The sequence below is a fragment of the Homo sapiens genome, chromosome 18 (assembly GCF_000001405.40).
Source record: "Homo sapiens chromosome 18, GRCh38.p14 Primary Assembly".
In the NCBI taxonomy this organism is placed as follows: domain Eukaryota; kingdom Metazoa; phylum Chordata; class Mammalia; order Primates; family Hominidae; genus Homo; species Homo sapiens.
In genome coordinates, this window is record NC_000018.10 from 26727240 (window position 1) to 26754652 (window position 27413).

At 40.1% G+C, this 27413-nt stretch overlaps 1 long non-coding RNA gene across 1 annotated transcript, besides 3 other annotated features; it reads right to left on the bottom strand.

The window, feature by feature from the left end:
- LOC124904272 (uncharacterized) lies at positions 1 to 26694 on the bottom strand. The gene is made up of 5 exons (XR_007066320.1): positions 26400 to 26694; positions 14484 to 14616; positions 5219 to 5341; positions 1821 to 2012; positions 1 to 1210 (listed from the first exon to the last, which is right to left on the bottom strand). It is a non-coding gene; the product is annotated as an uncharacterized LOC124904272 (long non-coding RNA).
- Positions 15406 to 15700: an enhancer, noted in NCBI's record as "tiled region #3190; K562 Activating non-DNase unmatched - State 24:Quies". NCBI's record gives its function as "activates a minimal TATA promoter and a strong SV40 promoter by Sharpr-MPRA in K562 cells {active_cell/tissue: K562}" and the evidence as "EXISTENCE:reporter gene assay evidence [ECO:0000049][PMID:27701403]".
- Positions 24582 to 24631: a silencer, noted in NCBI's record as "silent region_9381". NCBI's record gives its function as "represses an Ori minimal core promoter by ATAC-STARR-seq in GM12878 lymphoblastoid cells {active_cell/tissue: GM12878}" and the evidence as "EXISTENCE:reporter gene assay evidence [ECO:0000049][PMID:35858748]".
- Positions 25232 to 25381: an enhancer, noted in NCBI's record as "active region_13193". NCBI's record gives its function as "activates an Ori minimal core promoter by ATAC-STARR-seq in GM12878 lymphoblastoid cells {active_cell/tissue: GM12878}" and the evidence as "EXISTENCE:reporter gene assay evidence [ECO:0000049][PMID:35858748]".
- Positions 26695 to 27413: the final 719 nt, after the last annotated feature.

Genomic DNA, 27413 nt, shown 5'->3' on the forward strand with positions numbered 1-27413 from the left:
CCTAGATTAATTTTTTTATGGTTTCATTTCATCTTTACTTTTAACTTAGTAGCTATACATTTCCAATTTTTATTATTATTTATTGGTTTTAACACTCTTGTCTGTTAGTCCCATCATTTCTGTTATTTCTTTGCTTGTTTCCATGTATTGATTTTCTATTGCTATAGAACACATTTTCTTGCTTCTTTTCATACCTTGTAATTTTTTAAAAATCAGATATTGTGCAATGTAAATTTTATACTGTTACTTGCTGGATTTTGTGCACTGTTAAGTGACTTTGAATTAGCTTTTCTTTTTGATTTGCTTTTATACTTTGTTAGGGCAGTTTCACAGCAGTCTTTAATCTAGGTCTAATTTAATCTCATTGTTAAGGCAATACCCTTTTGTGGATCCTACCTGATGCCCCATATTATGATATCTTTCTGATTTATGAAGCCAGATTAAATAAGCTGGGAGTTCTGGGTTTTCTTGAAACCATTAAGGATTAATTGATTTCAGTTAACTACTTTGTCTGGTGGAGTACAGATTATTTCCAGCCCTGTACAAGCTTTGGAAATTATTCTGTGTATCATTTCTGGTGATTCTTTTTCTCACCTCTGGCAATTTCTTCTCCTTCTCCTCTTCTTCCTCCTCCTATTTCTCCTTTGTCTTTGCAATTGCAGATCAGTACTCAGCCAAGTACTTGAGGATATTCCTCTATAGATGCTGGAGTTCTCTCTGTGTATATAATCCTTTTGCTCCTGGTTTCTCTGCCCCTCAAGTTTTAGCTGCCTTGGCTTCTCTGATCTCTAGTCTCTGACTCCGCAACTCAATAGAACTGCTGGTCTGTGTTTGGATTCATCCTCCCCGTCCTACAGCCTGAAAATGGCTCTCACCAATTGTAGCCAGTTACTATCTTCTTGACATCACAGTCTCACATTGCCTGTTGTTTAATGTCTGAAAACCAGTCACAGGTTTTGTTCTGTTTTCCTCTTGTTTAAGCAGGAGGATAAATTCAGCTTCTGTTATTTCATCTATAAGCAGAAATTGTTTTATGTGTTATTTTCTCTTGCCAAAAGCATTTTAGAGCTGGAAAGTAACACGTTCAGGGGAAATTTAAAGGCGCATCCTTTATCTTCCATCTCTCTGCCTCCAAACAGAAACTTCGATGTAACCCACTTGCCTGCCACAACTCCAGGACTTGTTAAACTTGGCCGTATGGACAAATAAACTGAAAATAAAAAAGATGGGTTGGATCTGTTTATTACACAGTGAGTTCCTCATGGACATGTGCTGTTTGCCTCTAGGAACACCCCACAGCACGGCCTGATGCTTCTGAGGACCTACCAGAGGTGGTCCTGTTTTTTGACTTGAGCATTTTACATTTGTTTTTCAGAAGAATGAAGGTTAGCAGTTATCCCTGTGCCTCAGTGGATCCTCTCTGAGAATATGTCTATTGAAACACTTGAGTGACAAGTACCGTTAGTGGTATCAAAAAAGCTCAAGAAATTTGATGTAAGTTCTCAAAAACTTACATCAAAGAACCACTAAGGGCAAAGGGAAGTGAATGTGTCCTTTCGAGAAGGACAAGTTGAAGCAGCATGGTACACACATTTTGTTGAAATTTCATATTTTCTACTAAAAATTCATGAAGACATCTCTGGATTTAACTGTGTATACTTCAGATTTTGAAATTGTATATTCCTCATATTCAGTGGTTGAATGCACCTGAATCCCTGCTGTTCCTTGACCACTGCATAATGAGTTTTCAAGAGCTGGCCTGTGCAAACCCCACTACACTTTGTCAGCCACATGTGGGATTAAGCATATGTTTTACTCACTCTTTCTCCTTCCATCCTCAGCACTACAGAAGAACAGGAGCTGACCATTTGTTACTTCGTTTTTGAAAGTTGCCCACATCTGTTCTGCTGGCTTCATAAGTGGATGTCTCTTCTCCATGGCGAGATTATGAATAGGGTGTGGTGATCAGGTCTGGAAGGTCTCTTGCATTTCCTCCAGAGGCTGGTACAGTGCTGGAGACAGGAAAGGCACTGGGCTTTTAGTGACTTACGAAGCTAGATCAAGTTAGCTAGGAGTTCTGGGTTTTCTCAAAACCACCAATAATTAATTGCTTTCAGTTAACTACTTTTTTCTTTGAGTCTTGCTGTACAGAACTCTCTTCTACTTCTCTGCTCTTAGCTGGATGGGATGGTAGGAGAAGGAGGGGGATTAGGGGATGGAATCGGTAGTCAAATCTTTATCCCCTGTGTGCCCAAGGTAGAGGAAGGAGCCATGCTGTTATTTCTGCTAGCCATCCAAATGTCTTTGTGTGGTAAGGAGAGCTGCAGTCATTGCTTTCAATTTACTAATGGGAAACAGAGACTCAGAGGGGCTGAATAATTAGTTCATTCTACTTGGGTAGAATTGAGAGAAAGAGAAGACAGCTTTCCTAATTCCACTGCTCCTGCCATTGTGCTTCCCGTGTGGTCCAACAACTCAACTAAGTGACATTTGCTCTTTCAAAAATGCAGATTTGCCTTTCTAAAGGGAACACATTTTATGAAGTGGATAAATCAATTTGAGATATTTGGTCAAATCAAGGAATGAGGAGAAATGAAATTAGTGTTCTGAGCATAACACAATGGCGAGTTCATGACAGCTTCCCCATTCTTCCTGATCACAAGTTCCACTTGAGGCTTCTTTCTTTGTGAGGGGGGTGGGGGTGGGAATCTCAAATTGCATTTATCCCATAATAATACTTAATGCCTTTGCAAAAATTAGTCTTCAGAATTCTATATGGAAAGGGTTCATCTTTATTTCCCCAGCATTTTAAAGGTGTCACTTTAAAAATCCTATGTACAATCTTCAGTGTAAAATAAGCCAGTATGATTTTGTAGATTATACACCATTCCACAATACAACTAGTCTACTAACGTGGCCTTAGACACCTGAGATGCACACTGCATGGTGTTTCATGATTTTAAAAAAATCTTTTGGCCGGGTGCGGTGGCTCACGCCTATAATCCCAGCACTTTGGGAGGCCGAGGCGGGTGGATCACGAGGTCAGGAGATCGAGACCATCCTGGCTAACATGGTGAAACCCCGTCTCTACTAAAAATACAAAAAATTAGCCCGGCGTGGTGGTGGGCACCTGTAGTCCCAGCTACTCGGGAGGCTGAGGCAGGAGAATGGCGTGAACCCGGGAGGCGGAGCTTGCAGTGAGCGGAGATAGCACCACTGCACTCCAGCCTGGGCGACAGAGCTAGACTCTATCTCAAAAAAAAAAGAAAAAAAAATCTTTTGTCATTCAGTGAAAGGCAAGAATGACAACTAAACCCTAAAAAAGCCCTTTTGATTCAGACTCCTACATGGCCACTGTTTTCTATATTTCATACCCAGTGTGCAATTAGTCGAGGTGTGTGCCTCTGAATTCTTCAAGGGTTAAAATTCAACACCCGGCACCTAGTAGCAAATGAGAAATTCGGTTGTTTTCTCTTAGACCGTCAGTCTTTTATAAGCCTATTATAAAACCAACACTTCTCATTGCCAGGCCAATCCTAAACTATTAAATAGAGGCTAGTATTTGAATTAAGGGTGTTATTGTAATCGTTTTAAATTTTGAGATGGGCTCTTACTGTGTTACCCCAGCTGGAGTGCAGTGGCGGGATCTCGGCTCACTGCAGCCTTGACCTCCTGGGCTCAAGCAATCTCCCTGTCTCAGCCTCCTGAGTAGCTGGGACTACAGGTATGTGCCACAACGCCCAGCTAATTTGTGTGCTTTTTGTAGCGAAGGGGTTTTGCCATGTTGCCCAGGCTGATTTTGAACTCCTGAGATGAAGCTATCTGCCTGCCTCGGCCTCCCAGAGCGTTGGTATTACAGGCCTGAGCCACCACACCAGGCCTTATTGTAATCTTAACACATAAAAGTGTAGGGCTTGGTTAAGATTAAGGGAATGTCTTGAGCTTGGTTCTTTTGGGGGAGGCTATATCTCTGTTGTAAAAATCCACCCCAAAACTATTTTATTATACTCAGGAAGATATGAGGGGGTTGTTCTTTGGAACTGGGCTGCCCAGTGCAGTCCCCATTAATCACCTATGCTACTGAGCACTGGAAGTATGGCTCACTTAGATTGATAGCCCTGGTTTAGATCTTTTCCTGCAGTGGTGGGTTACTTCTCACTGTCAGAAAAAGCAGGAACCGAAGGGGAGTGGTCAGCTAAGCCAGACATAAAGCAACAGGAGGACTGAGCTCACTAAGTTTGTGGACTCTGAATTCTAAGTTTTACCCTTGGGCTGTTGGTGAACATGGTCAATATCTCACCATTTGAGATATCTTTTTTTTTTTTTTTTTTTTTTTTTGGAGATGGAGTCTTGCTGTGTCGCCTAGGCTGGAGTGAAGTGGTGTAATGTCGGCTCACTGCAACCTCCACCTCCAGGGTTCAAGTGATTCTCCTACCTCAGCCTCCCGAGTGGCTGGAATTACAGGCTCCTGCCGCCATGCCCAGCTAATTTTTGTATTTTTAGTAGAGATGGGATTTCACCATGTGGGCCAGGTTTGTCTTGAACTCCTGACCTCAAGTGATCCAACTGCCTCGGCCTCCCAAAGTGTTGGGATTACAGGTGTGAGCCACCACACCCAGCCCCACCTTTCAATATTTCTTTGGGATATCTCTGGGTCTTTACTCTCTAAACTAATGCTGTTTAATAGAAATATATCATAAAATACATATATAATTTTAAATTTTCCTGTAGCCATGCTAAAAAGGGAAAAAGAAATAGGTGAAGGTAATTTTAATAATAGATTTGATTTGGCACACTATACAGAAAATATTATCGTTAAAAAATGTGCCAAGTGCAGTGGCTCATGCCTGTAATCCCAGCACTTTGGGAGGCCAGGGTGGGAAGATATCTTGAGTCCAGGAGTTCGAGACCAGCCTTAGCAACATAGTGAGCCCCTGTCTCTACTAAAAATAAAATACACTAGCTGGGTGTGGTGGCACTAGTTCTAGTTACTTAAGAGGCTGAGGTGGGAGGACTGCTTGAGCCCAGGAGTTCAAGGCTGTAGTGAGTCACAATCATGCCACTACATTCCCACCTGGGAGACAGAGAGAGGCTCTTTCTCTGAAATAATGATAATAATAATACAAGTAATCAATCACTATAAAACTTATTAATGAGATGTTTTACATTCTCTTGTTTGTTCTAAGTCTTTGAAATCTGGCATGTATTTTATACTGACAGCACATGTGAAGCTGGACCAGTCACTTTTCAAGTGCTCAAGACCCATATGTGGCTGTACAGGATGGTATAGACATTTTGACTTTAGTCCTCAAATAGGCAAGAGGAAGACATAAACTGGAATCTAGAATAAAGGAAAAACATCTCATAGTTATATTCAAGTTGATTACAGATTATACTATAATGTAAGTATGGACTTCTAAAAAACGTTATAAACCTAGGTTGTTGTATATATCTAAAATCTAACTGGAGGTAAAAGGGGAAAGAACTAGTTATCCATTGATCACCAAGGTATGCTAGGAACTATGCTTGTTGCTTGACACATATTATTTTACTAAATCCTTACAATAATCTTATGACTGTTATTATTGGCCCCATTGAAAATTAACAAAATTGAGATGCAGAAGGAGTAGAAGCTTACCCAAAGAATTACAACAAGAAATCAATACTAGAGCTAGGATCCTACCTGAGCCCACACTGCCTAACTAGGTGACATAGCTCCATTCATTCTGAGCTCTTAGATCACCATGTACCCAAGTAAATTTAACCTTCATTTGATGAAAATATTTGCCTATTAAGCCCTCTAAAACAAATCTAGAAAACATGCACACCACATAATTTTCATTTGTAGTTTTTATTTTTTAAGTTTTATGGGCTTTGATATCTTCAGGAAAATGTGAAGAAAAACACATACATTCATCTTGTGAGTATATAAATAGATAGATACATGGGTATAAAAACAGACCATATTTTGTGGATGGGAAATATGACTGACATACTGCTTATAGTTAGATGCTGTCATTGGATGACATTGGGCAAGCTTGTCATGTGTCTTCTGATGTCTCCCTTGTCCTTTATCAACTCACCTTCTTGCTGAACACTTTTGGAGTTTCTTGTGTGTTTATTGGCTACTGAATCTCCTTCCAACTAAATTATGTAGAGTCTAGGAAACACAGTTCTGAAATTTAATCCTGGTTCATTTGCTAGAACTCTGGATTTTTTTCCCCAAATAGTTTGGTTTCTTATACACTAATCAGGACCATTTTCCTAGTTGGAAAAAAGCAGGCACAAGGTGTGGTGGCAGACTTGCATGGTGGGTGGCCCTGAGGCGGGGTGCATGGCAGGTGAGGACCTCTGGCCTTTGAAGGACTTGGGGAGAGAGCAGAGATTTCAGAGGAAAAAGAACAAATCGAACAGACTCAAATAACACACAAATGAGCACCAGCCCATTTTATTGTAGAAAGTTGGGTACTTTTTTTTGTGTGTGTGTGTGTTTTGTAGAGATGGGGTTTTGCCATGCTGCCCAGGCTGGTCTCGAACACCTGGGCTCAAGTGATTTGCCCGCCTCGGCTTCTGAAAGTGCTAGGGTTACAGGAGTGCGCCACCGTACCCAGCCAGGTACTCTTAAGTGATGAGCAGACGTGCCATATTTAGTTGAATATCTTCAAGAGAGAAGCACACACTATAGGGCCACAAGCTCTAAATGAATGCTGTCATACTAATTTAGAGAGCAACTTTACCCAAGTGTCTTCCCCAGTACTTCCCTAAGAATTCAAGGGATGTAAAAATTCAAAGCCCTGGTTGCATCTGGAGTTTAAATGTAAAGGAATGTAAACTGTTTTTCCTGGTTACAGAGAGTCTCTCTCTCTCTCTGAATCGTATTGGTCAGGTTGGATTCCTCATTTCTAGAGAGATGAATAAACCCATCTGCAGACTTTCTGTTTGTAAAAGCCTAAAGTAACACAAAATGTTGAGTGTTTTGTGAACATAGCTAGCACATTTAACTCTGAGACTAGGTGGAAAAGAACATTGCAATGAGGCACATAGTTTTTGTTTTCGTAATGTTTTAAAAATTGAGAAGGAATGATCAAAACACAGCTAAAGACAAGTTAATCTAACTAAGATTGATAAGAACGTGCATTAGGACATGCTTATTTTGACCTAGATGTGATTGTTATTTTAGTATTCTATGTCCTTGCTAGTCTTGCAAATATAGTCTTTCATGAAGAAAAATAAAAGCCTAGACAAAATGACCCCCTATTCAAACCAAACTGCCATGGTGTCTTTGGTGTGTAAATGGAATTACATTCTTTACAGCAGTGATTTTTAGTCACGTGTACTGGGTTAGATTGATTGTCAAATTTGGGGAGAGGAAAGAATTTCCCTCTGGGGTGTACTGGCAATTATTTTTCAGTTGTTTTTGCCCTGCTCTGGAGCATGAAGCCAATATCATTTTTAGGATCAGGTGAGTTTATCCAACATGATCAATTTCCTGTGGTTGTCTGCTGCTGTCACAGGGGGAGGGGAAAGCAGCTCTCCTTGATCACTTTGACACTAAAAGCTGTCGTTTGGAAATTGACCAGGACATAAAACTCTGAGCCCCTAATGACAACCACAAAAAGATCAAGAGACTAATGAAGTCATGGAGAGAGTCGGGATAGTACAAAGCGGGTTACCCCTAGCTCACACCTTCCCTGCTCCCTCTAATGAGGTACAGCACTGGGTAACTTGTGTCAAGTCATAATGCATCATGCCTCTAGAGTGTTCTGTCAGGGCCCTAGGAGTAATGTGACATGACAGATACAGCAGAAGATAATGAGTCAAATTCTCTCTGCTGCTGAACATTGCTCGATAGGAATTGCAGGTGCTGAAGAAGGTGGCTTACTCACCACTTAGAGGAGCAACTGGGCTCCATGGCCACCTCTGGACAGGGGGCCTCATTTGGCAATTTCATGGGTTTGCTGGAAACTGGGCTGAATCCCACTGGTGAGGTTGTCCCCTCACTAATTCCTAGAGAACTTTATCTGCTGCCTGGAGTTTCAGTCTTTGGCTTTGTTTCTGTCCTCCAGACATTTCTGCTTACTGGTGCCCTCCTTCTTCTTCCCAATTTAATTCAAACCAACAAACACTTCTTTAGAATTTACAACCCAAATGTCCAACAATGATAGACTGGATTAAAAAAATATGGCACATATACACCATGGAATACTATGCAGCCATAAAAAATGATGAATTCATGTCCTTTGTAGGGACATGGATGAAGCTGGAAACCATCATTCTCAGCAAACTATCGCAAGGACAAAAAACCAAACACCACATGTTCTCATTCATAGGTGGGAATTGAACAATGAGAACACACGGACACAGGAAGGGGAACATCACACACCTGGGACTGTTGTGGGGTGGGGGAGGGGGGAGGAATAGCATTAGGAGATACACCTAATGCTAAATGATGAGTTAATGGGTGCAGCACACCAACATGGCACATGTATACATATGTAACAAACCTGCACGTTGTGCACATGTACCCTAAAACTTAAAGTATAATAATAATAAAATTTAAAAAAAAAGAATTTATTATGAGCCTTCTAATTGTCCCTGCTCCTACTCTCTTGCCTGCATGGTCCACTTGCCACACAGCTGGAGTGACCTTTGAAGAGCACACTGGTCACCGGCTTAAAATCCCCTTAAAGCCTTGCAAACTCTTCCCTTCACATTTTAGGTTTTCACATGATGCTGTGTCTCCTTAGCATCTCAAACATGTTGTCTTGTTCTCCCATTACTCTGTGCACTCCAGCCACACTGGTTTTCTTTCTGTGCCCTGAATTCACCCAACCCTCATTCCTGCCTAGGTGCAGCAAGGCTTGGTGTCATGGAGACTAAGAGATGAGAGTTTTAAGGAGGGCATGATCAACTGTGCTGAGAGTGGTTGATGTTGGTTGAGAAGACCTTGCATTAATTTTGGGAAGATAGGGGTCATTAGAGCCTATGACATTAGCAATTTCTATTGTGAGATGGATGCCACATTGTAGTAGGGCAGTAGAGAAAAGGAAGGAAGGAAAAGGAAGCTATTCATTCAAGAAATTTTGCTATGAAGGAGAGCAGAGAAATGGGGCAGTAGTTGGAGGGAGATGTGTGGTAAAGGGCAGTGTTGTGATTTTTATTTATTATAGATGATAGTAGAGAGGGAGTGACCTAAATAGAGGAGTGTAGCAGTATTTCCCAGCAGAGTTGAGCACCTACTGAGAATTTGTGGTCATGCACTTAAAGAGAGAACATGGTGTGCACTTCACTGGAGTAGCTTCTCTAAGTTTGAAGGAGGTCTGTGAGCATGGTGGAGAGCATCGACATTGAATCAAGTGAGACTGGGTTTGAATCCTGGCTTTGTTTCTCACTGGTTATTGAATTTTTTGGAAAAATTATTTAACCTTCTTTAACATTAGTTTTCCTATACATAAAATGGAAATAATTTATATTATTATTATTTACATTAGTGGACTGGAGTTAGCCCTCAGAAACTTGTTCCAGGTATTGACTTTCTTTCTTTTTTAGATAGGGTCTCACTTTGTTGTCCAGGTTGGAGTGTAGTGGCACGATCATGGCTCACTGCAGCCTCAACCTCCTCAGGCTCAGGTGATCCTCCCCACTTTGTACAGATAGGGTTTTGCCATGTTGCCCATGTTGGTCTTACACTCCTGGGCTCAAGTGAGGCACCTGCCTCAGACTCCCAAAGTGCTGGGATTATAGGGATAAGCCACCATGCCTGGCCTTGACTTCTTAATGAATGCTAACTGCTGGTAACTCGGGATTGGAGGGAAAATTCTGGAAGTGCAACAAGAGACACAGTAATGTTCCTCTGCCTTTTGCATGTTAGAGATTGCAGAAGTAATATTTCCCCAGACGCACATAGGGCTATCTTATGCTATATGATGGTCAAAGTTTTTTCTCTAGTACTGAAGACTAGTAATAAACAGTACATTCCTTAGAAAATAAGTGATATGGTTTCGCAGTGTCCCCACCCAAATTTCATCTTGAATTGTAGCTCCTATAATCCCCATGTGTCATGGCAGAGACCTGGTGGGAGGTAATTGAATCATGGAGGTGGGTTTTTTCCATGCTGTTCTCATGATAGTGAATAAGTTTCACCAGATCTGATGGTTTTATTAAGGGCAGTTCCCCTGTACATGCTCTCTTGCCTGCCGCCATGTAAGACGTGCTTTTCTCCTCCTTCACCTTCTGCCATGATTGTCAGGCCTCCCCAGCCATATGGAAATATGAGTTCATTAAACCTCTTTTTCTTTATAAATTACCCAGCCTCGGGTATTTCTTCATCGCAGTATGAAAATGAACTAATACAATAAGCTAGCATTTTACCACTTCTTCTACCTCTCAAAATGACATGTCTAATTGACTTCCTTTGCTGTCTACTTTGATTCTCTTTATTCATATTCAATCTGATTCAACCTGCTTTCTATAAATGAAAGAGAAGGATGAGGTGAATCTGTGGAGGGAAACCCTATGATATTGGAAAGCAAGAGAATTAAGATTATTTGAAAGCAAGAAAATTAATTATCTTAATTTGCAAAAACATATGAAGAGAGTTTCTGGAGGAAAACACTGTTGAGCCACTAGGCAAGTATGACTCTCCAGTCATATTCAAGCTACTTCAGTATGTGTGTGTGTGTATATATATACACACACACGCACACACACACACATGCACATATACATGCATATATATATAATATACAGAGAGAGACCGTTTAGTACTGTTAACACTCACATACCCATTATCCAAATTCAACACCTGCTTCCTCCACTCCTGCGGTATTCTTAAGAGACTCTCAGGCAACATATCATTTTATTAGAAAATGTTTGTATGGTTTTCTAAAAGATAAAGACCATTAAAAAAACACAACTATGATATCATTATCATACCTAAGAGATTTGGCAGTAATTCTTTAATATTACCAAATATCCAGTCAGTGTTCACGTTTCTAGTTGTCTTAAAATTTCTTTTCCAATGTTTTGGTTTATACTGAATTTATACTGTTACTTTCAATTCAAATTTAGAACTACAGTGTTTTAAATCAACCTCTCTGATGTATTCTCTTGTTTCATCATTTTTTATAATGGAAGTATTTTTGGTCGGATGGAAATAATAAAATGGAGAAAGTTAAAGTGGATTTCTATGAGCAAAGACAGTTGACTCTACATTAGGGGGCTCAACCCCAGGGCTACGGACCAGTACCAGTCCATGGCCTGTTAGGAAGCCACTGCACAACAGGAGGTGAGTGGCGGGCAAGTGAGCATTACCACCTGAGCTCTGCCTCCTGTCAGATAAGCGGTTGCATTAGATTCTCAGAGGAGCACGAAGTTATTGTGAACTGTGCATGTGAAGGATCTAGATTGTGTGCTCTTTATGAGAATCTAATGCCTGATGATCTGAGATGGAACAGTTTCATCCCAAAACCATCCCCACCACCCTGTCCGTGGAAAATTTGTCTTCCACGAAACTGGTTCCTGGTGCCAAAAAGGTTGGGGACCACTGTTCTACGTGTCATCCTTTGAGTGACATGAACTTTCTGATGATGCAGAGACTTCATGGAGTTAAAGATTCAGTAATTGAGACTGGGACTTTACAGTTCATGGGATGATAAACCAACAAAAAAGGGAAGTGCACCATTATCACAAAGAAACAAAATATTTTAAGAGCACTGGAAGTTTTGCTGTAACTAATTCACAGTTTCACATGGTTTTACATTTTGGAATAATAGGAAGTCAATATATTAACCATATTAATAATAAAGCAATAATTTACCAATACTAAAACCAAAAGGTGCTTCTGTACTTATGTGAATGAGTCCTTTTTGATTAGTTGATTTTGTTTTGAACACTGATACCACTTAGCTTTAGTATTTAGTCATTTTTATGGAGTATTTCAACAATGGTCAAAAATGTATAGTAACATTTTAGCCAGGTCAAAATCAATACATAAAGGATATTTACCAAAAAAAAATAATTCTGGGAAACAATCTGCTTCTGATCTTAATTGATTTCATTGCTAAGGTTATTCAAAAAATATCAGACTATCTGATCAGTTTTTATCAGATTTTGAGAGTGCTTGGTGATACATTCAGCCTCTGCCAGCAGTATGACTTGAATGAACAATTATATAAAAATTTAGAAATATGAAGAATACTTCTGGAAAGAAAGATAAAAGGAAATTGCTTGGTGTATCTAGTTTTTATCCTTCACATGCCTTCTCTGTTGGCTGCTAAGACTACAGACTGCAGATCCAGCCTCAACCTCGTCTTTAGTATTTGCATATCCTTAACTGGGGACATTCAAGAACTCCTAGTCCAGTGCTCCTAGACCCAGCACGAGAGAAGCTGGCACAGCACCTCTCGTAGTGCTCAATATCCACTGAATATGAACTTGACCACACTATTGGTAGCAGGCCTTCAGTTTGAGACTGGATACCTGGAACTCACAGAACAGTATGGGGTGTGTGCCAGGTTGTGTAGGAGAATGTGATGGTGCAGGACAAACAGGTTCCCTGCCCTCCTGGAGCCTATGGTTTTATGCTTTGTTTTTTGCTCCTGAGTCTCAATTTTTATAATCTGCTGAAACATTTTTCCCACTAGGGCTCCCGTTTTGCTTTGTTCTTCCAGTTCCTTTCTCAGGGGTAACAGTTCTACTCCTGAACTTCAACCTGGTGTCTCGGTCCCTGGAACCCTCCAATGGAGGTCTCCATTGGCCTTTGATGAGAACATCATCCACTTCTGAGACTTCCTGTTGTCCTGCTCTGCGAACCCCGGGCCTCTTCAATGTTGTTGGCCATCCATAGACCTTCTGTCTGCTGGACTGCGCTCCCCTACCGGGTCTCTCTGAATGGTGTTCTGACCCCTCTGGCTGCAGGTCAATTCACCATGGCCAGCCATGGTCTGAACTAAGACAGTAGTGTGGAGGAGGCAGAATAGTGTGGTGATCTTTCTAAGAACCTGACATCCTTAAACTCAGTTCTCTCTCCTTCTGATATGTACATCACCAAAACATATGCGGGTGACAATTTGAAAATTCTGATAGGGAATTCGATTTGCTTGAGTTCAAACAATGGAAATACGGAGACTTCCTGGTTCTACCACTTACTGGTTGTGTGACCTTTGGCAAGTTACTTAATCTTTCTGTACCTCAGAGACCTCATCTATAAAATGAAGATAATAATAGCATTTATCTCACAAGACTGCAGTGAGGATTAAATGAGATAATCCACGTAAGGTGCTTAGAATGTTGTCTGGCACATGGTAAATGCTCAATAATGTCAGCTACTACTATTGTCATCATTCTTATTAGTCAAATGGATTAGATGATGGTTTAGTTTTCCTTTAGCTATTTGGCACTCATTCAGAGCAGCTGAATGTCTCTAAAATATAAGCTTTTGGAGAAGAAAACAAAAGATTAGCAATGCTGATATTGAAGTAAGATGAGAACTGACATTTGAGCGATGGATTTGGCAACATGGAGGTCATTTGTGGCCTTCACAGGAGCAGTTTTGGTGGAATGATGAGATGAAAGCCCAGATAAAGTGGGCCCAGAGAGAGAATGAGCCAGACCCCACAGCGTTAAGAGTCAGAGAATGCTCCAGCCAGCTGTCACCTGGGCTTCAAGTAGTGCTGCTTGTCTTCTCTGGCCAGCCTGCTCCCTGTCTCTCTATGGGGTGCAGACCTAGACCCTGTGAGTGGACAGAGGAAGCATCACTGTGCTTTCTATCTACAATTTCTTCCTTCTTCCTTCCTTCCTTTGGTACCTTCTCTCCCACTGGGTACCTATTCAGAAAACTTCTCCTAGAAAGTTTCCTTCTATTCAACACAAACCCATTCATGCAGATAGATGCCTAGAGATAAATTTACCAGTTATGCCTAGATATGCACCACCTTTACAGAAATCAGTCCTCAATTTATATTAGTAGAGCTGACTCATGGCTTTTCACTTGGCAGTATCCCAGCTGGGGTTAAATCATCTAGTGATTATAGACTGGTGTCCTACTCAGGCTTTACTTTCACCTTCCCAACTTTTTCTCATAGCAAATAGTTATTTGTTTAGGTTTCCATCCCACATCCGTCAGGATCCCTTTCAGAAAGGAGATACATATTTGTTCTTTGAAAGGTTAAGAGAGAAAAAAGGCAACACTCAGGTAACCAGAGATCACTAATGGCTAAAAACAGCTACCACACTTAAGTTTGCAGGGACAAAGGGAAAAAGTGAGGTTATCAGAACCTAAGAAGTCAAGGGACAGCTCAAATAAGACTCAAAAGACATTAAAATGTAAGTTTCTGCTGAAGCTCCATGAAGGCAAACATCTTGTTTTGTTTTCTAATAAAATCCAAGTGCCTGCCACATAGTAAGTCTCAGTAAATATTAGATGAAAGAACAAATAGAAAAGAGAGTTTTGTTGGGGCATTCTGGAAAAAAAGTCTACTCACGCTTCTGAGAGAGGCATCAGAGGAAAAGATCGTGTCTTTCTTCCAGCTGCTGTGGCGTGTCAGTCTAGAATGGCTGCCACCATTTTGTCATAATGAAAACAAAACAAAACAAAAACAACTTGGATTCATTGACCTGTAAAAAGTAGAGTGGAGAGATGGAAAGAAGCCGGATCTTTTCTTAATGACATTTTTGGGTTGCTCAATCAAACAGCCCCTGAAACTTATCTTCCCACTTGACATTCCAATTCTAAGAGACAACAAAGCCCTCTGGTTATTTAAAAGAATATCCTGACTGATACAATGGCCTAACTTCCATTTCTCTGGTGGCTGGTTTGGTTTCCACTTAGCTGTGAGGGCGAGGCATTACTTTGGGAATGAGCCTAGTGATGATTTTAACCTTGGTTGATCCATTATATGCAAACCTGAGTCAGACCTACAGTTTGAACAGGAATGGGAGTTTCTCTTCAGGGGGCTGTATCTGATTGGTTGAAATCACTTAACCCAACTGTCCCGTAAAGAAATAAAGCACCTGGCACAATGTTCATTGCACACCAATTTCCCTTTCCTCCTATTTGGGGCTTTGGGTGCAGAGTGATCTCTGGAAGTTGGAACTGGGATCAATTTCCAGGAAAATTTAGGCCATGAATTTCTTTCTCTTTTAAAATCTGGGCTGCTTTTCATATATATATTTGCTACTAAGGCAGCATTATTCTTGAATTTTTCAGTATTTTCATTTAGAGGGCCATCATTGAAGGCATGAGGACATTTCAGTTAGTACAGACTTGGAATTTATTTGTTTGATTTATTAAAAATATACCCTAGCCTGAGGGTCTCAAGGTGTACATATAAAATACTTCAATTAAATTCAAACCAGCAGCTAAAATTTCCTGTTAAGAAATTGAAATATCTTAAAAAGAAAGAAAGAAAGAAAGAAAGAAAGAAAGAAAGAAAGAAAGAAAGAAGGAAAAAGAAAGAAACCCAAACACACACACACAAAAACCCAAACCAAAACCCCACCCAATATGGAATGCAGCAAAAGTACAAGGACAGGCCTGGTGCCATTGCTTCAAGGTCAACTGGCTGACGGGCTGTTGACCCAGGAACGGGAGACAGTTGCCAAACAGGACTGGCCTTGTGTTAGCTGAATGTTTGCTCCATGAACTTGTAATTTAAAGGGCACTGGCTACCCCACTCTCCAAAATAACAACAAACAAAAGACCTTCATTTTATTTTGACACGGTACTTGAAACCTTTCCAAATAGAGTCCTTTGAGGTTGAAAAAAAAAAAAAAACTTAGAAAATTATACAACCTGGATCAATTAAGGAGGGAGGTCATTAGTGATTAATATTTTAATTATAAATTAATAATTTTCTCCAAATACTCTCTTGAGACCGAACTTGTGAGTGAATGGACTTTTTTTTTTTTTTGGAGACAGGATCTTGCTTTGTCTCTGCTCACTGCAACCTCCACCTCCTGGGTTCAAGCAATTCTTCTGCCTCAGCTTCCCAAGTAGCTGGGACTACAGGTGCATGTCACCATACCTGGCTAATTTTTGTATTTTTTTAGTAGAGATGGAGTTTCACCATATTGACCAGGCTGGTCTCGAACTCCTGACCTCGTGATCTGCCCACCTCAGCCTCCCAAAGCACTGGGATTACAGGTGTGAGCCACTGTGCCTGGCCTGGACATTTTATTGAAGGAAGAGAGAAGGAAATTTGGGATTCTGGGTAATGACAGGACAAGGCCTGGATGGGGCAGTTGGGTGAGTTGGGTGGGTATTCTGTGGCATGAGAACATCTGCACTGAGGTACTTCGAAGGCAGCAGGGCAGTGCCAAGTATGGGAGAAAATTCCCCAAATCTCTACATTGCATTCACTTGTCAGTTTTGTCTATCACGGAGTTAAAAGCCCTCCCAAAGAAACTCTGTTGGATCTTTGGAGGTTTAGCTTGAGGACAATGATATGAAAGCTGTAGCTTATTTTTATTGTTATGATATTTTGGAAGATGAGAACTAATCTCTAATAATCCTTAATATTTGGAGTAGAACAGGATTCAGAAGCAAAGTGAGATTGGCCCATGCATGCAGTACAGCCGTCGTTCTCAAGCCAGAATCACCTGGAGGGCTTGCTCACACAGTTTCTGAATTTAGAAGGTCTGGGCAGGGACCTGAAGTATAGGGCATTTCTAACAAGCCCCCTGCTGATGCTGATGCTGCCGGCCCAGCGATGACACATTGAGAGCCACTGCAGTAGAGAAAATGACTTGGAGATTAGCTTCAAGCAAAGAATATTGCCAAGAATGACAAAGGCGAGGTTTAATTTTCCAAAAAAGATTAGAAACTTACACTGAAATGACATGCATCTGTATATTAGTTTATTAGGGCTTCCATGACAGGTATCAAAACGTGGGTGGCTTAAAACAGCAGAAATTTATTGTCTCCCCATTCTGGAGGCTGGAAGTCCAAAACCAAGGGTGTTGGCAAGGCCATGTCCTCTCTGATTGCTCTACCGGAGGACTCTTCCTTGCCTCTTCCAGCTTCTGGTGTTTTCTGGCAATCCTTGGTGTTCCTTGGCTTGCAGACGCATCGCTCCAGTCACATGGCCACCTTCTTCCTGTGTGTCTTCCTGTTGTCTTCCTTCTGTGTGTATGTGTCCAAAATTCTCCTTTTTTTATAAGCACACCAGTTATATTGGCTAGGGCCACTCTGATGGCCTCATTTTAACTTGATCACCTCCATAAAGATGCTATTTTCCAATAAGGCCACATTCTGAGGTACTGGGGGTTAGGACTTCAGCGTATCTTTTTGGGGGGAATACAATTCAAACCACAACAATGTGTTTAACCATGACCATTTCCCAGTGTCAAAATAATGCATGGGTTCTATATGCATTTGGTACTATGCAAAGTAAATTAATTAGACACAGAAATGTAACACCTGAGGCAGGCTTTGTTGATGGTAGGAGATATGGTAGAAAAACATACACGATTTAAGGAATGCAGCCAGACTGCCAGACTTTGAGTTCTTCCTCTGTTCTGTCTGAAATGGTTAATTGCTATGTTATATATGATACCATAACATTTTGCACATACCTTTATTGTAAAAGTGATTACATTCTGTTAGAGCTGGTTATTTGCATTAATCTTGCTAGACTGTGAGCTGCTTGAAGGTAGGGGCTTGTTTAAATCATATTTATATTCACAGGGCCCAGCACATAGTAGGTGCTCAAATCGGTGAAGGAAGAAATTGACTAATAAGTCAAGAACAGCCTGGGATTTTGGCACGTGTTTTCCGGTGTCTCTGCTGGCCCCTCAGGTCGAGGAAAGTGAGAATGTACAAGTGGAGAGACCTACTGGTGCTGCCAGAAGCCACCCTCCACAGATGCTAAACTTCTTTGAAGTCTCATTTTCATTTTAAAAAGTAATGTAGATTTTGCATTCTACTCCATAACACATCCGTGTTTGTTTTAATACAAAAATTATGTTTCAGATGACTTAGACAAATTACTTAATTCCTTTCCCTTCATTCCACCCATCTTCAATTTGAGAAAAATGGTCACCCCGGGAGATAAACCATGTTTATCTGATGAATGTGTATACCACCTGGCACTCTGGTTGACACCCACTAAAAAGCCAAAGACTAGGGAGACACAGTGGGATGGGGGTGAGATGGGTGTATGACAGAGAACAAGGAAGCAGGCACTGGGCAGCGAAAGCTCTCAGGTGGCTGATGAAGCTGCCAAAGAGGACAGGAAGGGCTCAGGCACTGTTTACCTTGGAGAGGGCTGGGTGAGCCTATGAGCTGGTGTCGTGGGGTCAGTGTGACTTCAGCATAACTGGTAGAGCACTGTGTATCTTCTCCGTTTTCTTATGGGGGGAGGGGAAGTAGGGTTAGAAAATAAAGGAAGGGAGAAAACAAAGGAATAAAGACCATGTAGGAGGGCCCTTGGGAGACTTTGAAGCATAGGGTATTTTGGTTGTAGAGTCTTCGGAGACTGTCAGGGCTGAATTTCTTAGAGCTTAAGTCTTGCTGCCTAGGGCAATGGAAAATGGCTGTAGAGTCCCAGAAATGTGTGGGTAGTTGAAAACAATGAGGAAAAGACAGCCTTTGGCAGTGATATGGAGAATCTACTGGAGAAGAAAGTTGTAATGATCCAGATACAGGAGTAACCAGGGAGAAGCTCTACAGCTGCAGATCCAGGGAACATCAGAGGGACAGGGCAACTCCTAAGTCCTTTTACTGCAGGACTTGTCTCTCCCAGCACAAGCTCTAAGCATTTCTCTTCACTCATTAACATCGCCTGGCTTACGATGTCTACTTCCAAAAGGAATGTGCTTCTCTTTATTCAGGAGACATTTACATGCTGTAATTCACTTAAGATTTTTGGCTCTAACTGCTTTGTTCCTGCAAATCAAGGAATAGCATTAACACATCAGCTTATCATCAGATAGCTTGGGATGACCCCTTCAGAAAGAAAAAGAAAATTTTAAATCATTGTTTCCAGAAAGGGCAATTAGAACACCATATATTTTTTCCTCTGAAAATCTGGCACAAGGAATTTGATGTTACCTAATATTCTCGATGGCTTTTCAGAAGGTAACATTTTACCCACGTAAGGCATCCATGCAAACTGCCTAGGTCACAATTGAAAAGAAATCAATGTAGTCCAGAAAGAAACCACAATATGAGGAAGAATGAGCATTAAACTGAAATTTGGAACCCATCATGTGACGTCTGCTGGCAGATGTGGCTCACGCTGTTCGATGTGATTCTGACACTCTCCGTGGTAGGGCTGGTTAGAACTTAAAGTATTTTATGGGTCATGAGACATTTTGGCTCTGTCTGCAAAGCTGCCCTAAGGAATTGTGTTTTTATGCCTTAACTGTTCTTTCCAAAGCTCACTTTTCACTAAGAGTGGGCAACCAGAGAGGTCTTTGTCCAAATACATTACATAATCCCTCCAGGAAATGCCGTGACAGTGTATAGTTGATGAAATGGAAGCCCTGGTACAGTGACCTTTCTCCCAGATATCCTAGGACATACTTTATGCTTCACTAGGCAAACATCCCTTCTTCCAAACTGGATTCAGTTCTAAAGATTTCTTTCCTTGCTGGGGGCCAGGAGACACAATAGGGTGCAAAAGTGTGAAGATTTTTTTCTTTTAATAAAATTATCTAATATTTCTACAAACTGGAAGTGCACACGCATTGCATGGTTAAATAGAGTTGTGCCAAAAAATAATAACCTAGTCCTTGCCCCGAGGAGGTAACGGTATGAATGATGCAATTCAAGGAGAAAGGAAAAGGCAGCTTATATTGTCAGTATCTTCCCATCATGTTGCTGTATTTTGATTGTTGTTTTTTGTTGGTATACTATAAGAAGGATAGGTAGGGCTGTTCTCTGAAAATTACTTTTATTTTATTTTATTTTCCCTGGATGTTCACTGTGTTATACTTGTTAACCTACTTCTTTTTTGTGAGAGGCATATAAAATGCACGATCTGATTCATGCAACATTTATTTAAGCATGTTAACTTTGTGTGTATTTACTTATGAAGCCTCAGGGCTGATGAGCAACACGGGGGCGGGGCGGGGCACGGTGCGGGGGGGGCGGGGGGGCAACTTCTTGCTTCTGGGGACTGTTACTTTAAGAGTAATTATCCTGCCAGTAATGATGACAATGACTGTAACATGAATGCTTACTTTGAAATGGCAATGGAATCTGTGTGTCCTTGAAATTTTTAATTCCTGTAAGAGTCATCCAAAATAGATAAAATTAAGAGCCTGGTTGTAGTTGTTTATCTGTGGCTAATTAGTGAACTATATTCTCTCCTAAGCAGAAAAAAAGACAAGCTGTCTCTAGGATACTAAAAGGTCAGAAAGTTCTAAGCCAATTTTCCTCATACTTGGGCAATGCACCTGCTCTTTTAGAGGATAAAAATGATTGCAGCTCTACAATATTGACAAATTATTTTGTTACAATATGACTCAAATTTATATAGATGATTCATGTGCAATGAAAAATAAGGGATATTTTAACAAATAATTGAGTGCAGGATTGCTTATATGCTCATTAGATAAAAACTGCTTGACTATGCTCTTGAAATCTTTTGTATGTTTTTATTACTTTTTGTTGGCTTGATCTACCAACTATGCAGAGAGGTACATGTATTAGTTTTTTGGGGCTCCTGTAAAAATTCCCACAAATTTGGTGGTTTAAAACAACAGAAATTTATTCTCTAACAGTTCTGTACGACAAGAGTCTGGAATCAAGGTGATGGCAGGGCTACGCTCCCTCTGAACAAGATTCTCTAGGGGAGATTTTTTTCTTCCCTCTTCCAATTTCTGGTGGTTCCAGGCGTTCCTTGGCTCATAACTCCAGTCATTTCCTTCATCTTCATACGGCTTCTCCTCTGTGTCTGTGCCTTGTCTTCTGTCTCTTATAAAAACACTTGTCATTAGATTTAGGGCCCACCCAAACAATCTAGGATAATACCATCTGGAGATCCTTAATTGAATCATGTCTGCAAAGGCTCTTTTTCCAAATAAGAAAAAACAACAACAACAACAAAAAACCACTTAGAGGATTTAGACATATCTTTTGAGGAGCGGTAACTATTCAACCCACCACAATGTATTCTAACTTTCTACTATGCCTGGTAGTGTGCCTCATACCTTGGCCAATTTTTATTTTATATACTTTGGGAGACATGTTATTAGGCACCTGTAGGTTCAGGATTTTTTTCCCCTGATTAATTTCTCATTATGTGATGACCTCCTTTATTCCTCCCAAATATTTTTTTGTTTGTTTTATTGCTTTAAGATCTAGTTGTCAAGGAGGGAGAGGATCAGGAAAAATAACTAATGGGTACTAGGATTAATACCTGGGTGATGAAATAATCTAGACAACAAACCCCCATGACACAAGTTTACCTATGTAATGTACCTGCACATGTACCCTTGAACTTAAAGTAAAAGTTAAATAATGTCTGATATGAATATAGTTTTTCCAGCTTTCTCTGGGTTGCTATTGTGTGTAGTATTTTCTATCATTTTATTTTGAAATTTTGTAATTGATTGTCTTTAGAGGTGTATTTTACACTTGGTCTTAGCCAAAAGGCTGAGAAGCAATTAGAGTTGTTTTCTGAAAACAGCTTGTAGTTGGACTAAAATCTTTTAATAACTTATTCAAAAGTAGAGAATACAGTATAGTGAACCCACATATACCCATTACCCAGATTAATCAATTACCAGGACTTAACGACATTTACTTCTCTTAGCCCTTTAAAAATATTCCTTTTCTTTTTGTTTTGTTTCCCTTGCAGAACTATTTTAAAGCATGTCCCAAACATGATATTTTACCCTATGCAGTTTGTACTTATCTCTAAATAATACGTTTTCTTTCTTGTATAACAAAATACCATTATCACGTCCAGCAAAATAAGAATCCTTTGGTATCATGTAATAATACCCAACATATAATTTAATTCCTCCAATTTTCTTGTGCTTTCTTATGGTTGGTCTTTTTTTTTTTTTTCTTTTTTGAGATGGAGTCTGGCTCTTTCTCCCAGTCTGGAGTGCAATGGCATCATCTCGGCTCACTGCAACCTCTGCCTCCTGGATTCAAGTGATTCTCCTGCTTCAGCCTTCTGAGTATCTGGGACTACAGGCATGCACCACCATGCCTGACTAATTTTTGTATTTTTAGTAGAGACGGGGTTTCACTGTGTTAGCCAGGCTGGTCTTGAACTCCTGACCTCAGGTGATCTGCCTGCCTCAACCTCTCAAAATTCTGGGATTACAGGCGTTAGCCACCACCTGTGCCCGGCCCTATTATGGTTGGTAATTTAAATCAAGAGCTAAACAAGGTCAATGTATTTAATTTGTTATACTTCTTCAATCTCTTTTAGTATAGAGCAGTTCCCCCTTTTTTTTCTTTCATGCTATTGACTTGTTTCAGAAGCAAGTTAGTTTCTTGTAGGTCACTCCATATTTTGCATTTCGGAAGTCTGTGTTTTCCTTTGTGACATTATGTGTCCTGTTCTGTAGCCCCTATATTTCCTTTAAATGGAAATAATCCAGTCTGAGAGTTTTGTCTCTTAACTGAGGATTTTGATCCATTTAGATTGGTTGAGATTACTGATATTTAAAATTCATTCCTACCATCTCATTTTTGCTTTCTAATTGCCTGCTTTTTCTTTGGTTCTTCTTAACATCTTTTCTACTTAAAAAAAAAAGTATTTCCTTTATCCTCTTTTAAACATTTGATTTCTATTCTTTTAGTGACTGTTTTTCAATTTTTTTTTTTTTTTTTTGTGACGGAGTTTCACTCTTGTTACCCAGGTTGGAGTGCAATGACGTGATCTCGGCTCACCACAATCACCACCTCCCATGTTCAAGCGACTCTCCTGCCTCAGCCTCCCAAGTAGCTGGGATTATAAGCATGCACCACCACGCCCAGCTAATTTTGTATTTTTAGTAGAGATGGGGTTTCTCCATATTGGTCAGGCTGTTTTCAAACTTCTGACCTCAGGTGATCTGCCTGCCTCAGCCTCCCAAAGTGCTGGGATTACAGGTGTGAGCCACCACGCGTGGCCCAATTTTTTAAATGATCATTTGACCAGATCAAATCTACAGTAGTCAGTATCTTTACTATTTTCTTTAAAAATGCAAAGCTCTTAGAATGCTTTAAAATCACTCCTTATTAAGTTCTTTCCCTGTATTTTTTAACAGTCAGTGCTGTTTAAATTTCTATACATGTTTGTTCATTACTTTGCTCATCATTTCTTTTATTTTGAAATTTTATTATTATAACTATTTTTTGGGGTAGGGAATTGCTCTGCCACCCAGGCTGGAGTGCAGTGGTGGAATCCTAGCTCGCTGCAGCCTCAAACTCCTGGGCTGAAGCAATCCTCCTGTCTCAGCCTCCTGAGTAGCAGGGATTACAGACATGCGCCACCAGTCTGGCTAATTGTTTTTCATTTTTTGTAGAGACAGGGCCTTGCTGTGTTGCCTGGGGTGGTGTCAAATTCCTGGCCTCAAGTGATCCCCACATCTTGGCTTCCCAAAGTGCTGGGATTACAGGCCTGAGCCACCGCACCCAGCCTCATCATTTCTTTTAAACTTAATTATGTGGGGGCGGGGGAGGTTGGAGTCCTTCTTAAAGCAGAAATTTTTTCATTGAGGGTTTGTGAATAAATCCTTTTAATCCTTTTAATATTTTATGATATATAATAGACAAATATTATATATATTAAATTATATATGTTAAATTATATATTAAATTATGTTTTTATATATATATATTTCAATACCCTCACTACTGAATGGTAGTTTAGGTGGGTAAAGAATTTTAGAATTTTTAGTACTTTGAAGAAATTATTCCATTATCTTCTGGCCTCTACTTTTGTTACTGAGAAGTCAATTGCTAGTCTGAATGTTTTTCTTTTTAGGCTCACCTGTTCTTTTATTTTAGTTACTTTTATGATTTTCCCTTTCTGTTTCACAATGGTATATTATATGAAAGAGCATTTTTACTTTAGTTAGTCTGGTTAAGATTCAAATTTTTTCATTTGAGAAGTCATCCCTTCAATCACTTTTGAGAAATACTCAGCCATTATCATTTCAAATCTTGCCTCTCCTTGACACTGTATTCTTTTCTTCTAAATTCCTAACAGATTGTTAAACATTTTTATTCTCTTCTAAATGTCTTAATTTTTCATAATTATCTTTTAAAATATCTATAATTTTGGGATCTATTCTGGTTAACTTTTTCATATATGCTCATTAATTTTTTTTTCAATTAGATCTAGTTGGTTCTTTAACTCATCCATTGAGTTTTTAATTTTGGTATATTTTTCCTTAGTACTTCTATTTAATTATTTTTCAAATCTATTTTTGTCATTTATATTCTTTTGTTTATTTTATGCTTTTTAATGTCTTTAATCAGCTTAAATATACTTTTCATATTAGCTCTGAGATTATTATTTTATTAGTTCTAGTTCTAGGTGACTCAATCCTTCTGTTGTGTCTGCTGACTCTCTCTTGTAATTTCTTATTATGGGCTCATTTTATACAGGACTTGCACATTTTAAAGTGAGAATTCTGTGTGACAAAGATGCAGTAACATCCTTCGAAAAGGGATTTGCATGTCTTCTGCAAGGTGCCCCAAAGTTATGAGCAAGTATGTGATATTTTAATGGCTTGGGATTTCCCAGTCCTTGTGAATAGCAGCATTCAGACTTCAAACCCATCAGAGACCCAGGCCAAGTCTTTTGCTTTCTCTTAATGTGTTTTCCCCTACACACAGCCAAGGCAGAGATATTCTTTATTGGGTTCCAGACAGCCCGCAAAGTTTTTCTGGTTTTACTTGGCCAGAATTGCAGCCCTTCAAGACGTGATTTTTTTTTTTTTTTTTTTTTTTTTTTTTTTTTTTTTTTTTTTTTGAGACAGAGTCTTGCTCTGTCACCGAGGCTGGGAGTACAGTGGCTTGATCTCGGCTCACTGCCACCTCTGCCTCCCGGGTTCAAGCAGTTCTCTCTGCCTCAGCCTCCTGAGTAGCTGAGATTACATGTGCCTGCCACTACGCTTGGCTAATTTTTGTGTTTTAGTGGAGACAGGGTTTTGCCATGTTGGCCAGGCTGGTCTTGAACTCTTGACCTCAGGTGATCTGCCCGCTTTGGCCTCCCAAAGTGCGTGAGCCACTGCGCCTGGCCCAAGATATGACTTTATGTATGAGTTACACTTCCAACTTTCTACATTGTATAACTCTCTATTCATTATAAAACTTAAACCTTTAGCCTTCACTGCCTTCAATTAGCCTCCTTCCCCTTTCCTGCCCCATGCTTATTCATCAGCATGCATGATTGCCAAAATCAAGATTCAGTTTCATTTTTATTTCTAGTATCAACAGGCCTCTCTCTCCCTCTTTTTCTTCTTTCAGAGCTCAACTATTACATTTTCATGCAGCATTTCTAGGTGTCTGCAGGTAAAGGATTTCTGGGGTGTGTGTGTGTGTGTGTGTGTGTGTGTGTGTGTGTGTGTGTTTTCTTTTTTAAGAGATGGGGTCTTGTTTTGTTGCCCAGGCTCAACAGATTCTCCTGCCTCAGACTATTGAGTATCTTGGACCACAGGAATGTGCCACTGTGCCAGGCTGGATTTGAGTTTAAATCTACTATTTTCTAGGCTTATTGAAATATCAAGATCTTAGAAAAAAAAAAAACCCATGTGAATGAATCTTTGTGTGTGTGTTTATATGCATGTCCCTCTCCTTTCTTTAACTATTGGGCAATCCAGCACAGGGCATGCTGTGTGGTGTTAAAATTCTCTCATCATATCATTTTTAGATACAATTTTAATGTGATTTCTTGCAAACTTGATCATCGACATAAATGCAATGGGAGATGTTAACATTATATGAAAGTACTCTGGTTCTATGTAGTTATCCAGGTGATACCAGGTATGCTTATGTTAATCTTTAAAAGAGTATCAGAATGGAAGCATGAAATGAAAAATAATTCTTGGAGAGACCTTTGGATTCCAGAATATTTGTCTCGTTGACAGACATTAGTTTTAGAAAAACTGCTTCTTGGCTTAACTGGCCAGTTTTAGGAAATATTCTCTTCTCCAGGTTCAACTTGGATACCAGTTCTTCTGGGAAGCCTTCTGTAATTTAAAGGCTTAAAAGCATACCTATTGTATTTGTCAGGGTTCTCCAGAGAAACAGAACATATTAGTTTAGACATATATGCACACATATACATATACATACATATATATACATATATAAAATGTATACACATATATACATATGTAAATATATATGTATATATATGTGCACACACACAGAGACAGACAGGAAGAGAGACAGAGAGAGACAGAGACAGAGAGAGAGATTTATTTTAAAGAAATTGGCTCACAGAATTATGGAGGCTTGGTGGGTCCAAAATCTGCTAAATCAGGTGGAGTAGGCTGGCAAGCTGGAGATTCAGGATTTGCAGTTTGAGTCCAAAAGTGGTCTGCTGGCAGAATTTCTTCTTGCTCAGGGTAGAGCGAGGTTTGTTCTATTCAGTACTTCAACTGATCAGGTGAGGCCCACCCACATTGTGGCGAACAGTCTGCTTTGCTCAAAGTCCACTAGCTTATTTTTTATTTTTTGAGACAGAGTCTCGCTCTGTCACCCAAGCTGGAGTGCAGTGGCACCATCTCGGCTCACTGCAACCTCTGCCTCCTGGGTTCAAGCGATTCTCCTTCCTCAGCCTCCCGAGTAGCTGGGATTATAGGCACACACCACCACACCTGGCTAATTTTTGTATTTTTAGTAGAGGTGGGGTTTCGCCATGTTGGTCAGGCTGGTCTTGAACTCCTGAGCTCAAGCGATCTGCCGGCCTCTTCCTTCCAAAGTGCTGGTATTATAGACGTGAGCCACCGCACCTGGCCAAAAGTCCACCAGTTTAAATGTTAACCTCAAACAAACAGCGTTTTCACACAAACACCCAGAATTCTATTTGACCAAATATTTTGGCAAGCTGGCTGAGCCAAGTTGATACTTAAAAGTAGCCATCACACCAACACTGTAGCTTTTGTCTGTTACTTGGTTAATGATGTGTTTTCATATCTGCCTCATTTCCTAGGCTGTGACCACCTCCAGGGTAGACACTATCTGAAGTGCCTAGTGTGGTTCCTGGAATTTAGTCACTGCTGGATACATGTTTACTTGATGAAATAGTAAAAAGGGAAGCAGGGTAGGAAACAAATGCTGTTTTGTCACCTGACCCTGGGAAGGCATAGGTTTTCTGAATTCTTAAAAAAATTTATTTGCAATATTTGTAATTACACAGCCTATACCTGTTTCAAATCAGATACTTATGATAAAAAGAACCTGTACTGAGGGGCCTGCATGTGCCAGGTACTATGCCAAGTGGCATCCATGT